The 15930-nt window shown below is 39.1% G+C and overlaps 1 annotated feature.

Annotated features, from left to right (window-relative positions):
- Positions 2033–2583: an enhancer, noted in NCBI's record as "OCT4-NANOG hESC enhancer chr3:139057-139607 (GRCh37/hg19 assembly coordinates)". NCBI's record gives its function as "activates a minimal SCP1, AML or CMV promoter by ChIP-STARR-seq in primed H9 embryonic stem cells {active_cell/tissue: H9 hESC(primed)}" and the evidence as "EXISTENCE:reporter gene assay evidence [ECO:0000049][PMID:30033119]".

The raw sequence follows: 15930 nt of genomic DNA on the forward strand, positions 1-15930 counted from the left end.
GAAGATTGCATTTTTTCTCACGGCTCTACAGAAAATCTGTTCCCTTGCCTTTTTCAATCTCTAGATTTTGCCTGTATTCCATAGCTTGTGGCCCCTTTCCTTCTGCAAAGCCAGTAATGTCCTCTCTGCAACCTCTACTTCCATCTCACACCTTTTCTGACTCTAACTCTCCTGCCTTCCTCTTCTACTTTTGAGAACACTTGTGATTACATTGGACAATCCAGGATAATCTCTTCATCCTGATTTATAATTGAATCACATCTTCTAAGAGCCTTCTAAGATCATACCCCCAAGGTTAGAACATGGACATCTCTTGGGGGCCATTTTTCTGCCTACTAATAAGTGTTTTATAGATGTATGTTCTCACATGCACATTAGAGAAAGCGTGAGGAGTGGAAGTCAGGAAGGCTTTTTGGAGAAGTGATGCTCTAATATAATGTTTAGTTAGGAATAGTTCTTTCAACAGTGAAGCAAGGAGGAACAAAAAGGAATTTTCAAGTCCTCCAATCCTGAAGCAGCCATGGCATACTCAGGTTGCAGATTTAGTTCCAGTGATTAGAAGACTGGGTTCTGGAGGTGGCAGTGTGTGGAGCTAAAACTAAAATGAGAAGCAGAGGTCAGGTAATTGATGTCATTGTATGGCAAGCTAAGGGATTTGGAGCTTATTGGTTGACTATGGGCTTCTTTTTCAATGAGACCCTGCAGGGTACATAGACACTCAGTAAACACCGCTGATGAACAAACCATGTAATTGAATTAATACAGACTTTGATACAACATTTGGTCAGAAAAAATAAATCTACCCATGACTCTCTCTGTTGTGAGAGCATGACTTGAGTAATTGTTTGATCCCTCTTGTGTTCCACTGAGAAGTGGAAGAACTTTTATCGGCTGAGAACTGCCCTAGGCATCCTTAGTTACATACTCCAGTAAAAGCACTTCGAGTTAAAGCAGCGATGGCTTTCTAAGGCCAAAATGTGCTGTTTGAGGATAAAGTATAAGTCAGATTAGAAACTCAAAACCTCTGATGGCACATTAATGTGCCAACGTGGGGACATTCCACCCTATACTTTCACTCACATTCACAGAATGATGCAAGAGACCCTTTAATCCAAAAGTAAACAGAACTATGTGTGGGTGAGATAAGGATGTTCACTTAATACAGTGGGGTATCTGCACAAGTATCTCTGTGCAGAGGTGCTTGTCTGAGCGCAAGCTGTGTGCTATAGCCACAGAAGTAATAAATAAAATTTTTACCTGTGCCTGTAGTCCAGCCTATTCAGGAGGCTGAGGTAGGAGGATTGCTTGAGCCTGGGAACTTGAGCCTGCAGTGAGCTCTGATCACACCATTGCACTCCAGCATGGGTGATGGACTGAGACTCTGCCTTAAAAAAATAAAGGAAGCCCCAGGAGAGAGGTAGACAGGCCTTACAGGCCTTATAGACATGGGCAGAGCTTCTTCTCCAATAATTCTCTCCCTTTTATCATTGCATTCAGTCTCTCCAAACATACTCATCTCAAGCATGTCACAACACATTGACATTCTCATATTTTGTCTCTTGTCTCCAATTCTGCCTTTTGGTTGAATCAAGGGGAATGCTGGAATTTCTAGAGTCGGGCCATCCTAGTCTCATGTTTCTACCTCAGTCTCTGTAGGTAAAGCAGACAGATGGGCTCCCCTTTTCAAAGAAAAAAAGCCACCCTGCATTCATTTGCTTATTCATTGACAAAATATTAACCAAGTTCTTACTATATACTTGTCACTTTGCAAGGTGTCATGAGTATTGCAGTGCAAAAGATAGAAGCAGTACCCTTGTTTTCCCTGAGAGTTTCCAGTTAATGGGGAAGGTAGACCTTGTCAAAATAATTAAGTAAAAGAATAAACTAATGACCACCATTGAATGCTAACTCCAGGGCAGGCACTATTCAAAAGGCTTTAATCTCTGTAGATCCCCACGAAAACCCTATGAAATATAGATGATTACTATTTCAACCCCTTCTCCAAGCTTATAGAGTTTTAAGTGTTGGAGCCAGGATTCAGCTTAGAGGATCCACCCATTTCTGAAGAGTGCTCATAAGAGAAATACATTGTGCCCAGGGAGCCTGCCATCGATAAAAATTTAACACTCTTTCAGAAAATCAGAAAACCACAGTCCAAAATCATGGTGATTCGTTCTATAGGCAGGCTGCATGTTGCGTCTCATCACCATGGTAATGAGATGCATTCCTTGCTAACCTCTCTCTAGACCTCTGCAGATCTCCCATCCCCAGGGGAGCTCCTTGAAGATCATTTATGAGAATCAGCAGTAAGCACCAGTGGCCTTTCAGAACCTCTCAGAGAGTGCTTAATGCAGTAATTGTTTACTCTGATTTGTAATGAGAGAGAGTAACACGGTGATGTTAGGGACTGATTAATTTTCCTGAATGTGTTTCAGAGCAGAAGGCACCTTGCAGAACAAGACTCATTTTCTCCCCCTGTAGATTACCCTGTCTTGATTTTTTTTTGCAGCCGAACCCCACTGGCACACCTCAAAGCACAGCTTGCCTTAGCTTTGCATAATGTAAAATTGCTGAGATAAATTATTATCACATGCAGGATCAGTGATCACTTTTTTACCTCTAAATTGGTGAAAGTGTTGCCATGGAATCACTAATAAAAAGAAAGAGGTCCAGGGGTTGCTAGTTCATTTAGACGATCTACAGTTTGATTTCTTCCCCTTACAACAGGCACACAGAAAGCAGCTAGCATTTACCAGGTGCAGAGTGGCCATTTTGAAATAGCTAGGAAGGAAAATGAATACTGAACACATGTAGTGGGCCAGAGAATATGTAAGATAGCTATGTTTTTATAAAGTAGATCAAATGAGTGTTTGGTAAAGTGGAATTTCTGAGACGTGCGAGTATGCTCCTAGGGGAAAAAGGCTTGTTTTGCCAATTGGGCTTTTGTTAGAGGCCACAGGGTGTGTTGCTCTGGAACTGAGGCTTTGTAAATTGGCCCTTACTAGCTGCTTTGTCTTGTCTTCTAAATTGCTTGAAAATCTATTAAGATATATGACCCACATAAAAGTAGCACCAGAGGCTTTCCGAATCATGGTCCCTGGGGATTGGATTTTACTTTATCACCCATTAACGCAGAAGGGATTTCATCAGTCGGCTTACCCTTCTCTCATCCCCGTGGGTTATAAAAATTCCAAAGATTAGCCTCTCTGGGATATAAGCAAAGATGTGAATACCCAGACAGCTGTTTGACAGGCAGATATGCTGGGATTTACAGGGATGGCAGAAACGTGGGTCATGGGGGAAGATTAGATGTGGAGTTTGTGGAGAGGGTTAGTGAGATAGAAGTTCAAAATATTAGATAATTGGACTCCTTATTAGGAAGGTATGAACAGACGTTTGTTATTGACTTTCTGAAGAGGTGTCTGGGTCCCGTTTCACCAGAGCATCCTCTCCAAGGCATCGTTTTTTCCCATCCTGGCTTCTGGGGCTCAGTTTACCTTGCTGTGGTAGCATTTTAACCAAGCATACAAACTCAAAATGAACCAGATGCTTAACATGGTGAAAGGGGGCTGAGTCTTGCTGTGTCTACTCAGGCAGGATAAAGGAGAGGTTTGAACTACTAGCTGGTGTATTTAATTGCCTAAGCCAAAGGTCACAAACAGGTGGCTTGCTGGTCGTCCTAAAACATGTTTGGATTGGCTTGCCCTGTCTTTTGAAACTCCTGAATGAATGGCCAATATACATAAATTGGGAGATTCCACCCAAAATAGCTAGTTTTCTAGGTACTCTTGATAATAGGCTTCTTTGCTCCCTGTGATTAGACACCCTCCTGCTCCATTTCTTTCTGTTGCTTCCTGGCACCAGTGAAGTATTCTTTGTGTATTATTCTGAAGCACACCAACTGCATTGTTCCAGCATTTTCTCAGTGGCTGTGTCTGAAATATGATGAAGGGTCCCTCATGTCCTGTTTTACTGTACTTGCACACCTCCCGAGATTACTCACCCTTGATTTCATCCCTGGGTCTTTCTGTGCCTCAGTGACTCAATTTGTAGTGCACTCTTGGCCTCATTCCCTTTCCCAAGGATGCTATGGGGAGTATAAGAGAAACAAAGGGTTTGCAAGACGCCCTAAGCTCCCAGGGACAAATACACCACTCAGTCCAAACTTATGGCATGGTTACTGTTTGTATGGGCAGTTTAGATCTAGCCTCTGAGAGGTGGCCAGGGTTTCTTTCCTGCTTCGGCTGTATTCTACAGAGGGATCATAAGGACCCAAAGCACACTCTCTCCCTCCGCCCCTTTTATTCCCAGTTCTGCGAGATTGGCAGCCCCGTCTCTTCAGCCTTGCATTTATTAGTTGAGAGATGATTGCCCTCCGTTTATCTGTGACTGGGTTTTGCCTAAAGAGGATGGCTTCCTGCCAAAATGAGATGCATGCCTAATGAACTTGAATGCCTAGAAGCCTGGGCCTCACAGAGTCCCTCCATGTCAACCTGCAGCCACTGGGAAAATAAAGATTCCAGAAGGTTAATACTGACTGAGTCAATTTCTTGACTTTAGTTTTCTATGCACATAATTCCCCTCACAGGATTGTAAATTCTTATTTTCTCTAAACAGTGCTCTAGGAATTCAGATAGTCTCTTGTTAGTTTCATCTTTTCTAGTATTACTATAGTCTTGGTGTAGTTTTTTTGTTTCTTTGTTTGTTTTTTTAGAAAAGGGCAAATATGTGTGTGTGTAGAAGTGTGGTACAGTGGGGGAGTTTTATATTCTCTTACAATATTGAAGCAATTCTTCTGTAAGAACGAAATGAGGTTCTTTGAGTTTCCAATCTGGGAGTGAATGTCAAGTTCGGAGTCCACAATTGTGTCTGACTCAAAATAGGAAATTGAAAAAACTTGAAGAAATGATGACCGCAGAGATTTCCAAGCTCACCTTGGCTTCTTAATCCCAGAGAAGATTAGATGGTAGGAGTAGAATGAGTCCTGAAAATTGAGTGATTTCAGGCTGTGTAATACCATGTTGCGGGCTTTACAGAAACACAAATGATGGTTTGCAAAATACAGTGGCTGCCAAAACCAAGTGTCTGAAAGATGACAGATTGTAGCCTGTCCAGTTGTGACCCTGAGATGACAAAGCCAGAGTGGCCACCTGGCCCATTGTTAACTCTTTGATTTACATGTAGCAGGCTTCGGCTCATCTCCTTAGCAATAAAGTCCCAATAATGTGGTCCCTGACCTCACCCTCACACTGACAGGTGCCTTTTCCGCCAGGGCATTCGCCACACACCAGGAAGAAAATTAGTGCTCTGATGCAAGGATTTACCAAATGACCTCTCTGGGGAGTGTAAAGAGTTAATGTCATTTTCCAACCTGCCTAATTTACTCTAAGAGGGTATTAATGTCTTTTGAGCGAATCAGAAGCCACGAGTGCCTGGGGAGACAGGACTGGGGGGCAAAATTAAGGAAAATACATAAATGTTACCCCCCTTTTCCAAAGTATCTCATTATAATACATTTACATATAACTCTTTTCTTAGCCTACAAGTGTTTTGACATTCCAGCAGTCTTTCAAAATGGATCTTTTCCCCCCTCCCCTTTTTCTATTTGCAACTTCTATGGGGTCTAGCAGAGCCAGCACTGAGAACCAGCAAACCAGGCTTTTACTCTTAGTTATGCTGCTATCTTTTGTCCCTGAGCTGGTCACTTCTCAGCCTTTTCAACTCGAAAACAAATGGGTTGAGTTAAATTATTTCTAAGGGTCCTATGCTTTATGATTTAATGGTTTAAATGTTTTCAAAAATCAATGTTTAAAACACTTCTTTGAATTACAACATATTTTAAATGCATGTAGCATCTTTTCTCCTCATTAGGGCACTATCTAAACATAAATTTATGATATCCCCTCATAGAATACTTAAAAGCAAATGAAGCTGGTGGGGTTTCTGGGTCATTTTATCAGCAGCAAACACAGCATAACTGTGTCAACCTTTAACCACAGCCACATTTGACCTCTGAAAAAGGCTTGATGACTGCAGAACTGGCCACCCATGACCTTCTAACTCCATTCACCTTCACCCTGTCCTAATTGGTGATCCCAGTGCTTCTCAGAAATCCTTGGAGCTTAAATACATCCAGGCAGGCAGGTGGGGTCTTTAAAGGATGGCTATCATCACAGTACACAAGGTTTTCTCCTCAAAGCATGAAACTCCACAAGCAGTTCCAATATCGTGAGTGAGATCAGGATCAAAGAACCAAGAGAAGGGCTTCTTCTCTAGGAGAAGATTATTTATTTTGTTATTCCAAAAGTGGGCAATACTTTCTGAAAATTTTGTTCTGTGTCCAAAATTTATATAATCTAGTTTTCTATAGTTGATAATGCAGCTGCGCTTTAACATGCTAGTCATAAGCCAGGTGTGAACACTCAATGTAAATGAATTACGTTCATGTAAAATTAAAAATTGAGTTCCTCAGTTACCCTAGCCACATTTCAAGTACTCAGTAGTCACATGTGACACAAGGCTACCACATTGTCCAGCGAAGATCAGTAACATTCCTGCTGTCACAGAAATGTCTACTGGACAGATCTGGAAGAAAGTGGATAAATGTTCAAACCTTCAGGAGCTATTTGTTGTTTCCCCTTCCATCATTCTTTCAAAATATATTAACTTAAAAGGAGTAGGCCAGAGGCTGAAAAAATCATGCAGAGTGCTTTCAATACATTGTTTAATTTCTCTCTTTGAGGTAAGTGCATTGTATCTTTTTACAGAAAAGAAAACTGAGTCCCAAGATCACATACTTGGTCAGTGCAGAGCTGGGATGTGTAAACAGTCTTTCAGATTCTAAAGTCTGTGTTAATCTTGGATAAAAATTATTTCTGGAATTTTTTTATCTAGAAATTGTAGGAAAACAGTAAGTTTCTGGACTCAATTATCATCACGATCATCATGATTACCATCCTCATCATCATTTGTAAGAAGTGAGTGAGATTTTGTTTTTATATTTTGGAAAGGATTCTACTTTACAACAGGAACCTAGGATTTTAATGGCTAGATCACTTCAAAGCCAGGCTAAGACAGAGAACAGGACAAGGGGAAAGAAAGAAAGAAAACAAAAGAAGTAAGATAAAATAAAGGCAAACATGCATACGTAACTCAAATGTTTGCATTTTACTTGTGCATTTGTAATCACTTTGTTTTGAGGGCTATAGACTTCATTTAGTTCCCTATAGAGCTAGCATCCTTCCAGACCTTGCAGGTAAATATAAGAGTGAGGTACTTGATATGCGGTGTGTTTCTTCTCTGTGAATCAATTCAGCTGAGAAGCAAAGAACTGCACTTCAGACTTCAGGCGTTTTATTCCTTGGCAACCCACTGTAGTGATATTACAAACATTGAACCTGTTAGACTAATGGAAGTAAATGTTGTAAAAGCTGTGAAAGTCACTGGAAAATATTCACTCATTTGTGCAAGGATAATTTACCAAGTACCCACTATGTGTGAGGCACTGTGCTACACACCAGCTCGAAAAAAGGTGACATTAAAATACAACCCCTTCACCTGAGGGGCAAATTATTGGATATGGGCTGTTACATAAGCAACTCTAAAATAGTATAATACAATCAGCAGTGTAGGTAAATGTTTTATATCCAGCTCCTTAGGAAAAAAAAGCAGTATTTGTCTCATTTGCTATCGTCATGGTGTAAATAAATACTCCCACTATGATCAATATCAGGTTACCAACATAATGTCACTAAATGTGGAGTTGGAAAGAGATTGCTTATTGTAAGCAGTACAAGCCAGATCCAGCGCACTGTATAATGTATTATTTATGTTATATCATATTATCTGATATAGTATATCATATTATCTATATACATATATAAATATACATGGATATAATATATACAAAATATAATAAATGTAATATAATTTAAAATCATCTAATACCATGTTAAGAAGATATAGCCTATTGGTTAAGAGTTTAGGTTTGGGAGGCCTCACACCTGTAATGTCAGCACTTTGAGAGACTGAGGTGGGAGAATCACTTGAGCCCAGATGTTCGAGACCAGCTTGGGCAACATAGGGAGAACTTGTTTCTAAAAAAACAAAAACATTAGCAGGCAGGATGGTGCACACCTGTGGTCCCATCTTCTTGTGCCATTGCACTTCAGTCTGAGTGACAGAGTGAGACTCTGCCTTGTTAAAAGAAAAAAAAAGTTAAGGTTTTGATATCAGACCAATGTGACTTTAAATTGCGACCATTATACTCATTATACTTTATACTCATTATAATCAGTCAGGGATTATACTGACTGGCTGAGTTCTTTAAGCCTCTGTTGTCTCATCTATTCAATGGGAGAAAAGCTAGTAGCTTCTTGCCTAGGACTGTTGTAAGGGTCAGCACAGAAATGCTTAGTTCAGTCCCTGATCCATAGTTAAGTATTTGCTGATGTACAAGTGAGTAAATGAGTCAATGTCAATTGGCAGCATCGCTGGAGTATGAAGTAAATCGCTGTAAGAACCTAGAAGAGGACGAAATTCAGCTCATGGTAAATCAGCAAAGGCTTCACATGAGGAAACGTTTGAAATGGGCCTTGATGGCTAAGTAGAATCTTACCAGGCACATAGAGAAAAGAGGCTCATTCCAGATAGATGCAGTAGTGGGAGCAATTCTATTTGTTGTAGTGGTGGTGGCAGTTTTTCTTTAAGAGGTATATAGTGCCTTAGTCTGATATGCCTCCTTCTTTTCCTAAAAACTGCTAGGAGCTGCTACACATCTGCTTCTGCTGTTAGGCAATGAATGCCATCTTCCCTAATACCCACTGAGCCCCCCAGAGATAACAGCCATGCATCCCTTTTCACTAGGTCTTTGTGAGTACTTCTGTGAAGAACATGCTGACTTTTTGCCAATAGCTTTTGTTTACTGAAGCCCCAGAAACTGGTGAGAGAGATGTATTAATGATGGGGCCTAATCTCTATTGTATTTTACTGAAATTCCATTTCAGCCACAGAAATGCCGAATGCCTGCCGGTGAAATGTAATTTCTTGAAGTATCACTTATTAAAGGAAAGCATATTTCATCTCTCCATGTCTGAGGTTTATTCAAACAAAGGAAATGGGTTGTTACCAAGGAAAGCATAACTCAAAATCCCAATTATGACTGTTAAACCACATGTGAAATTACTTTTAATAATTAAAAGTGGCTCTTGCCACTCCGCAATCCTAGTTCAATATTAGGTCTGGTGCCATTTTAAGGAAAGCTAATAATCTCCAGTAAATCCCCTTGACCTTAATTGTCTTCACATCCACCCTTCAATGACCTTTATCGCTTTGATGGTTAAAATCTAAAATAAATGATACTAACAGATCTAATGTGCAACTGCATCATGTTCCTTTATTTTATGCATTTGTTATGGTTCCATTATACATTTTCTCCAAAGAGGCAAGAGTGTTTTGAAAAAAAACTCTTATTACATGTATTTTTTAATTCAATTTTTAAAGCAGAGAGAAGAAAATGTCAATAAGAAAAGTGTCATTTGGGAGAGGAGGTAAAACAATGGAAGGAAAAAGAAACTGAAAAGGGATGGCAGTACAGAAGAAAGTCAGTAATTATAAACTTCACTGGCAAAATACAAATGTAGCATCCAACCGTAAAGCCTAAGAGAGCAACTAAAGCTATTTCTAGAAGCAACAAATTTATGTAAGTATTTGCATCTTGAATAATAATTTCTTTTACAAAATATTCTAAGATTTGGAAAGCCTGTAGCCTCAAGGACAGAGTATATCTTGGCTGCTTACCACAGCAGTCCATTTTGATATCTATATTTTATATTTAGGAATATTCTTGGATTCACATTTATAACTTGTTTCTTAGAGATTGCACATGCAGTGTAGATATTGTAGATTTAATTGTTTCTCATATTTTAAACAGTTGATGTTACTTTTGTTTCATTGTGGTCTACATTTCTGCCATTTTGCGTAACGATACCTTATTCTTCTTTGGAAAAGTTGCTCTGCTCTACTATGCATTTCTTTAATCAGGCATTTATTTATTCATTCAAAAAAGGTTTCCCAAGCATTGTATTATGTGTTGTAACTGTATTTGTTGCTTAAAATATACAGAAGACGTGTATATCATCTGTCCTTTTAAAGAGAGTGTAGGGTGAAGAAAGGTGGAAGAGAGACATCATGGCGACTGATAAACTAAAGAATGATATAGGCATATGTACTGATTTTATGGAAATATGTCATTTATCAGCATATCTCGAAAACTCTGCCTGGTTGAGGGAGCCATGGAGGAAGTAAAATGGTTTCCTTCAGGCTCGTTCTGTGTTTTACATGAACGCAACCTCGTAAGGCAGCACTGAGAGTCAGGACATTGTCCCTGAGACCTGGTCAATACTGCTTAGGGCTGGCTGAAGAACCTCTGTCCATGGTTCCAAAAACAGCCATCAATTCTCTCTTCCAGGAGTCACACCCACACACCCATATACACATCCAAAAATGCACACCCATTCAAGCAACTACGTATCCATTAACCTTGGTAAATGCTTTCTTGCTTGAAACAAATTATTTCCCTTTTTTTCCCTATCACTCTTAGAATGAAATTGAAATTCCTAGGAGATTTGTCTTATTCCAAGCTTTCCCTTTACACAGCCCTCCAACCACACTGGCCTCCTTCCTATGTCTCAAACAAGCCAGGCTTGTGTCCATTTAAGGCTTTAGCACAAGCTCTCTGTTTGCCTTAGTACATTTCCAGAGAGCATCAAATGCTTCAATCCTTCTTGTCACTGAACTCTCAGTTTTAAACGTCTCTTGAGGAGGAATTTGCTTAATGATCTTATAAAAACTATCCCAGTTTCACCACCCAGTGAGTCTTTATCATGGTTTCCCTTTTAATGGCAAATATTTGTATGTAACAATTTATTATTTTATTATTTATATTAGTTTATTTTCTGTCTTCTTCACCAGAATATAAGGTCAATAAAAGAAGGAACTTTATCTCTAGTATTAATCCTAAAAACCAATTCATTGTAAATATCAATGAGATCTTAGCCGTCATGGGAGCCAGGCTCCAAATGGCCCAGTGATCCTCTCCTTCTGCTCTTCATGTTCTGGGGTAGTCAGTCCTTTAAGGCTGACCTCTAACCAATGTGATAGTATGGAAATTACAATGCATGACTTCTAACGCTAGGTCATAAGAGAAATTGTCTACCTCTGTTTTGGGTTGCTCACTCTGGGTAAAGCCAGCCACCTTGTCATGAAGACACTCAAGCAACTCATGAAGTGGCCCCCATGGGGAAGAACTGAGGATTCCTGCCAGCAACCAGCAGCATGTGAGTGAACATCTTGGAAACTGATTCTCCAGCCACTCTCAAGGCTTCAGATGCTACAGCCCTGGTTGATATTTTGAGCACAATGTCGTAAGAGGCCCGGAGCCAAAACTACCCTACTAGGCTGCTCCTGAATTCTTGACACACAGAATCTGTTGGGGACAATGAGTGTTTTATCTAAGCCACTAAGTTTGGGGGCCAGTTGCTATGCAACAACAGATAAGTAGTATGCCTATGCTGCACTAACTGCTAGGTCTTGCTGGGCACACAGTAGGCAGTCAATATTTGCTGATATTTAAGTGAATAAAGGGGTGTTGAGGAAAACTCCATTTCATTTAGCTGCATTTAAATAAAGATGAATTATAGCTTCACTGCAAGATACAGGAAGTAGCCAAATTTTTAAGTGTATTTTACAAAAGATGCCTATGAAGAAATCAATATCACAAACCTGAATACTCGATTCAAGCTCTGGCAGCTTTCTTATTTAACTCCCAGTTGATTTGTTTTCACAGAGTAAATTACCAGAAGGGCATTTGTCTCATTCTCTCTTTACTAAAAGGTCTTTAACTTCTATTTGCAGGTGTTTTTGCCTTCTAATCTTTCTCTTCATTGTTTCTCCAGATTTTGTCACGATAACAGATGTACTTTTTGTATTCTTTCAAATCCTGCCATTTTGCTTAAGAAGAAAAAAGATTTAAATCAAATTGTGGTTCATTTGTGATACTCTCCACAGACATTTATAACTGACAACTGAATGCATCAGTTACTTTAAACAGCCTGACTACAGTCATTCATAACAAAACAAAGAGGAGTGACTAGCATAGGACTAACTGATGAGCAGTTCTGTGGAGTTGAGGAAGGTTGTAATACTTTACATCTACAACTTAAGATTTCACAGAAGTCTCTGAGACATATTTACATTACAGATTATGATTCAAATTTTAAAGCACAAGGCAACATTGTTTGGCCCAGCTACTTGATTATGACTTCTTTTCAATGTGCTGTTCCCCTGTAAACATCATGGTTGACGTTTCAGGCATTTGCTTCTTCTCTCTACCAAGGACTTGTTTTCATTAACATTGATGAACAGCTTTCATTTTATCTGTGTGTATTCTACAAAAAGCAAACCTTGTTTGAAATTTGTTTCATATTGGAAGAATTTACTTCATCTCATAGTCACAGTGGGCCTTTAGCTGCCAATTTAAAATGAAGAGACACTTTGCAAAGTGTAAGTTATTTTATTTTAATGACATTTTATACTCACGATTCACATTTTTGTGCAGGTAAAATAGGATATCATTAAGATCACCATCATTGTGATATCTTGCAGAGTTAAATTCTCTGGCTGGGAAATGTTTAAGCCTCAGTAGTTTTTGACCACAAATTCACATTTCAAAAGAAAATATATTCAGGGTTCAGAAAACAGCAGGTGCAAAGGGAGTTATAGCTATCTCTTTTAACTATTAGGAGGAAAACTAAAATTGGCAACAATAGACTTGTCATTCTCTGCACTTTTATTCTTAATGATAATTATATGATGAAGGAATACACATTAGCAATGGCAATAGAGATATCAAATTGTATAGCATTATTGCCACCATTCTAGGAATAGAAAAGCAGAGTAAGAAGAAAAAGAGGCATTAGTGTTATTTATCATTGATGAGATGTGGAAACATGAGATTCGCATTTTGCAATGCACAGTGACATTAAACTCTAATCTAGTGCAGAGTTCCTCAGTAGCAACATTACTGACATCTTGGGTTGGAGAATTCTTCATTGTGGGGACCTGTCTTATCCAACATAGGATGTATAGCCACATCCCTGGACTCTGCCCACTAGACGTTGGTAGCATCACTGTAGTCCTTACTACCCAAAATGTCTCAAGACTTTGCCAGATGTCCCCTAAGGGCCACTGCTCTTGTGTACCAGATAAGTAAAAACATGGGACATTGAGAAGTGGAAGATCTACACTATCTTTACCGAAAAGACCCCCATACATGGGTGTATTAGTTCATTCTCACCCTGTTATAAAGAAATATCTGAGACTGGGTAATTTATAAAGAAAATAGGTTTAATTGGCTCATGGTTCCTCAGGCTGTACGGGAAGCAATGGCAGCCTCTGCTCTGCTTCTGAGGAGGCTTCAGAAAACTTAGAATCATAGTGGAAGGCAAAGGGGAGGCCAGTACTTTACATGGCTGGAACAGAAGGAAGAAAGAGAGCGGAAGGGGCTGTACTCTTTTAAACAATCAGCTCTCATCATAACTCAATTACTTGTTAACACTCATCAACAGCACTGAGGGGTTGGTGCTGAGTCTTTCATGAAGGACCACCTCCATGATCCAATCGCCTCCCACCAGGCCCCACTTCCAACGTTAGGTATTACAACTTGACAGGTGATGTGGACGGGGACACAGACCCAAACCATGCCAAAGGGTAACTGGCACCATTGACCCAGATAGTAGCAGAGACTCACACAGCTGGAAGGGGCTTTGGGAGATATATAGGCCATCTTTATTTTATGAATGGAACTCTGCAACTCTGCAAGGAGCATAGATTTGTTCAGAGTCACACAGCTGGGTTGTGTCAGGCTTGAAACTTGATGTTGTACTACTTGCATGCTGTTTTTTCTTCTTAACTGAAGATAGCTCATCCTCTGCAAATCTTGTATTTAAATCTTCTTTATTTTCTGGAAAATGGGTTGGGTTTGCATTATATTAGCCCACGGGAATGACCAATTGTGCGGCAAAGAAAAAACACCGTTCTCATGCTGAACAATTGTCTATTCCTTCTGGGATAGGCTGCAGAGAAAAAGTAGCACTCTCCTCTAGGCAATTGTCTATTCCCACTATTCAAGATGGTGAATAGTGGGAAATCTAGATGTTGGATTTTGTGCTACGTTAAATAACTCCTATAAGTATACTAATGATATGAGTTTAAAGACTACAACTTTGACAGATGCATGTTCAATATAAATGATGCAAAATCCAGTCATTGCTTGGGTTCAAATTTCAGTTCAAATCACTAGCTGCATAACCATGGGCTAATTAGGTAACTTCTCTGAGCCTGATTCTTCAAATCTGGGGGCAAAATGAGTTATAGCCTAACTCATAAGGTTGCTATATGTATGAAATGAAATAATGCATATAGTTGAGCACAATTTCTAGTATATAGAAAGCACTATCTAAATGTAAGTGCTGTTGCTGCTGCTATTGTTGTTATAAGTACTATTATTGAATTTAATAACTCAAAAGAGCTAACTCTGCATAGAGAGATGTGCAGAATGCACGACAAAAAGACTTTAAAAAATAAAGATGTATGAATTAATAGGAAGACTTCTCAATCATGGCTAGAATTAAGATAGACAATGTGGAGATGTGTAAGAATTTTTATTCCAAGAAAAGGGCTTTAAGATATAAGATATCTACAGAATTGTTACAGTTTAAATTAGACATAATTACAGAAGATAGTTTTAATGTGATGCTGAAATATGACAAGTTAACACAAGTCTGTGTATGTGAATTTGAAAAGTATATGATTTTTATGGCTTTTAAAAATTTTATTCATTGAATAATTCCTAAATGCCAGGCAACGCCCTTCTCCATGGCTGACAGCCTGACCAACTTGAGTTGATAATGAGACTCAAATAGAATGCAAATTGCCTGATATTGTCGCCTTCACCAATTCAACAATCATCCCAATCCTGGGACTCTGAAATATTAATAAAATCTAATAAAGGACTCCAACATGCCCTACAGATGGAAAAGAAATGAAAAAATGTCATGCCTTCTCTGTGAATGCTTTGAAATGAAAAATCAAATGATCGGTGGGAGAGAGACACAGGACCAACAACTGACGGACTGTGGAATATTTTCAGAAGTTTTCTATTACTCCAGATCTATTGCTGATAATTTTAAAAAGACAATATTGTCAATTTCATGTAATCATGTGTCACTGTACATATGGGAATATCTAGGTGCATAACGTGGTTGCCTTACTATACTACATTGGTATCCACTTGAGAGTTCTTGGCTCTTGATTTTTATGCGAAAACATAGACCCAGTGTTTTCAATTTGATTCCTTAGCATGTCATCGGGAAGCCTTGATACTTTGCAATAAACTGCCAAAATACCATACTGCACTTATATGTACACAAAGGCACAATGTATTATTTAATATTGTTTTTAAAAAGAAAAATATATAGTTACCATGGTATTGGAATGAGCAACAATTGAGATCCTGCTGTTCAGTGGGTAAAATGCCCTGCTTCACACATAATAAATAGCAAACCCTCATTGTTTGTCATCTTGTAGCTCATTGTCCTGATAATTTCTCAAGTGGAAGTAAATTAATCCATCCCCCCCTTTAAAGGATATAGTAGGCTGGAATAGAAAGAGCAGTGGGTTTGAAGTTAAAAGAGCCTAATCTAATCCACTTGCCAGCTATGTGAACTTGAATAAGGCGTAGTTTTTGAATCTGTAAAATAGAAGTAAAACCATCGATCCTGCCTGCCTCCCTGTGAGACGCACGCTGAGAATCAAATGTGATTGCACATATGGACTGTTTTGTAAAATAGGAAGCATGGTACAAAGGTAAAG

The sequence above is a fragment of the Homo sapiens genome, chromosome 3 (assembly GCF_000001405.40).
Source record: "Homo sapiens chromosome 3, GRCh38.p14 Primary Assembly".
Classification (NCBI taxonomy): domain Eukaryota; kingdom Metazoa; phylum Chordata; class Mammalia; order Primates; family Hominidae; genus Homo; species Homo sapiens.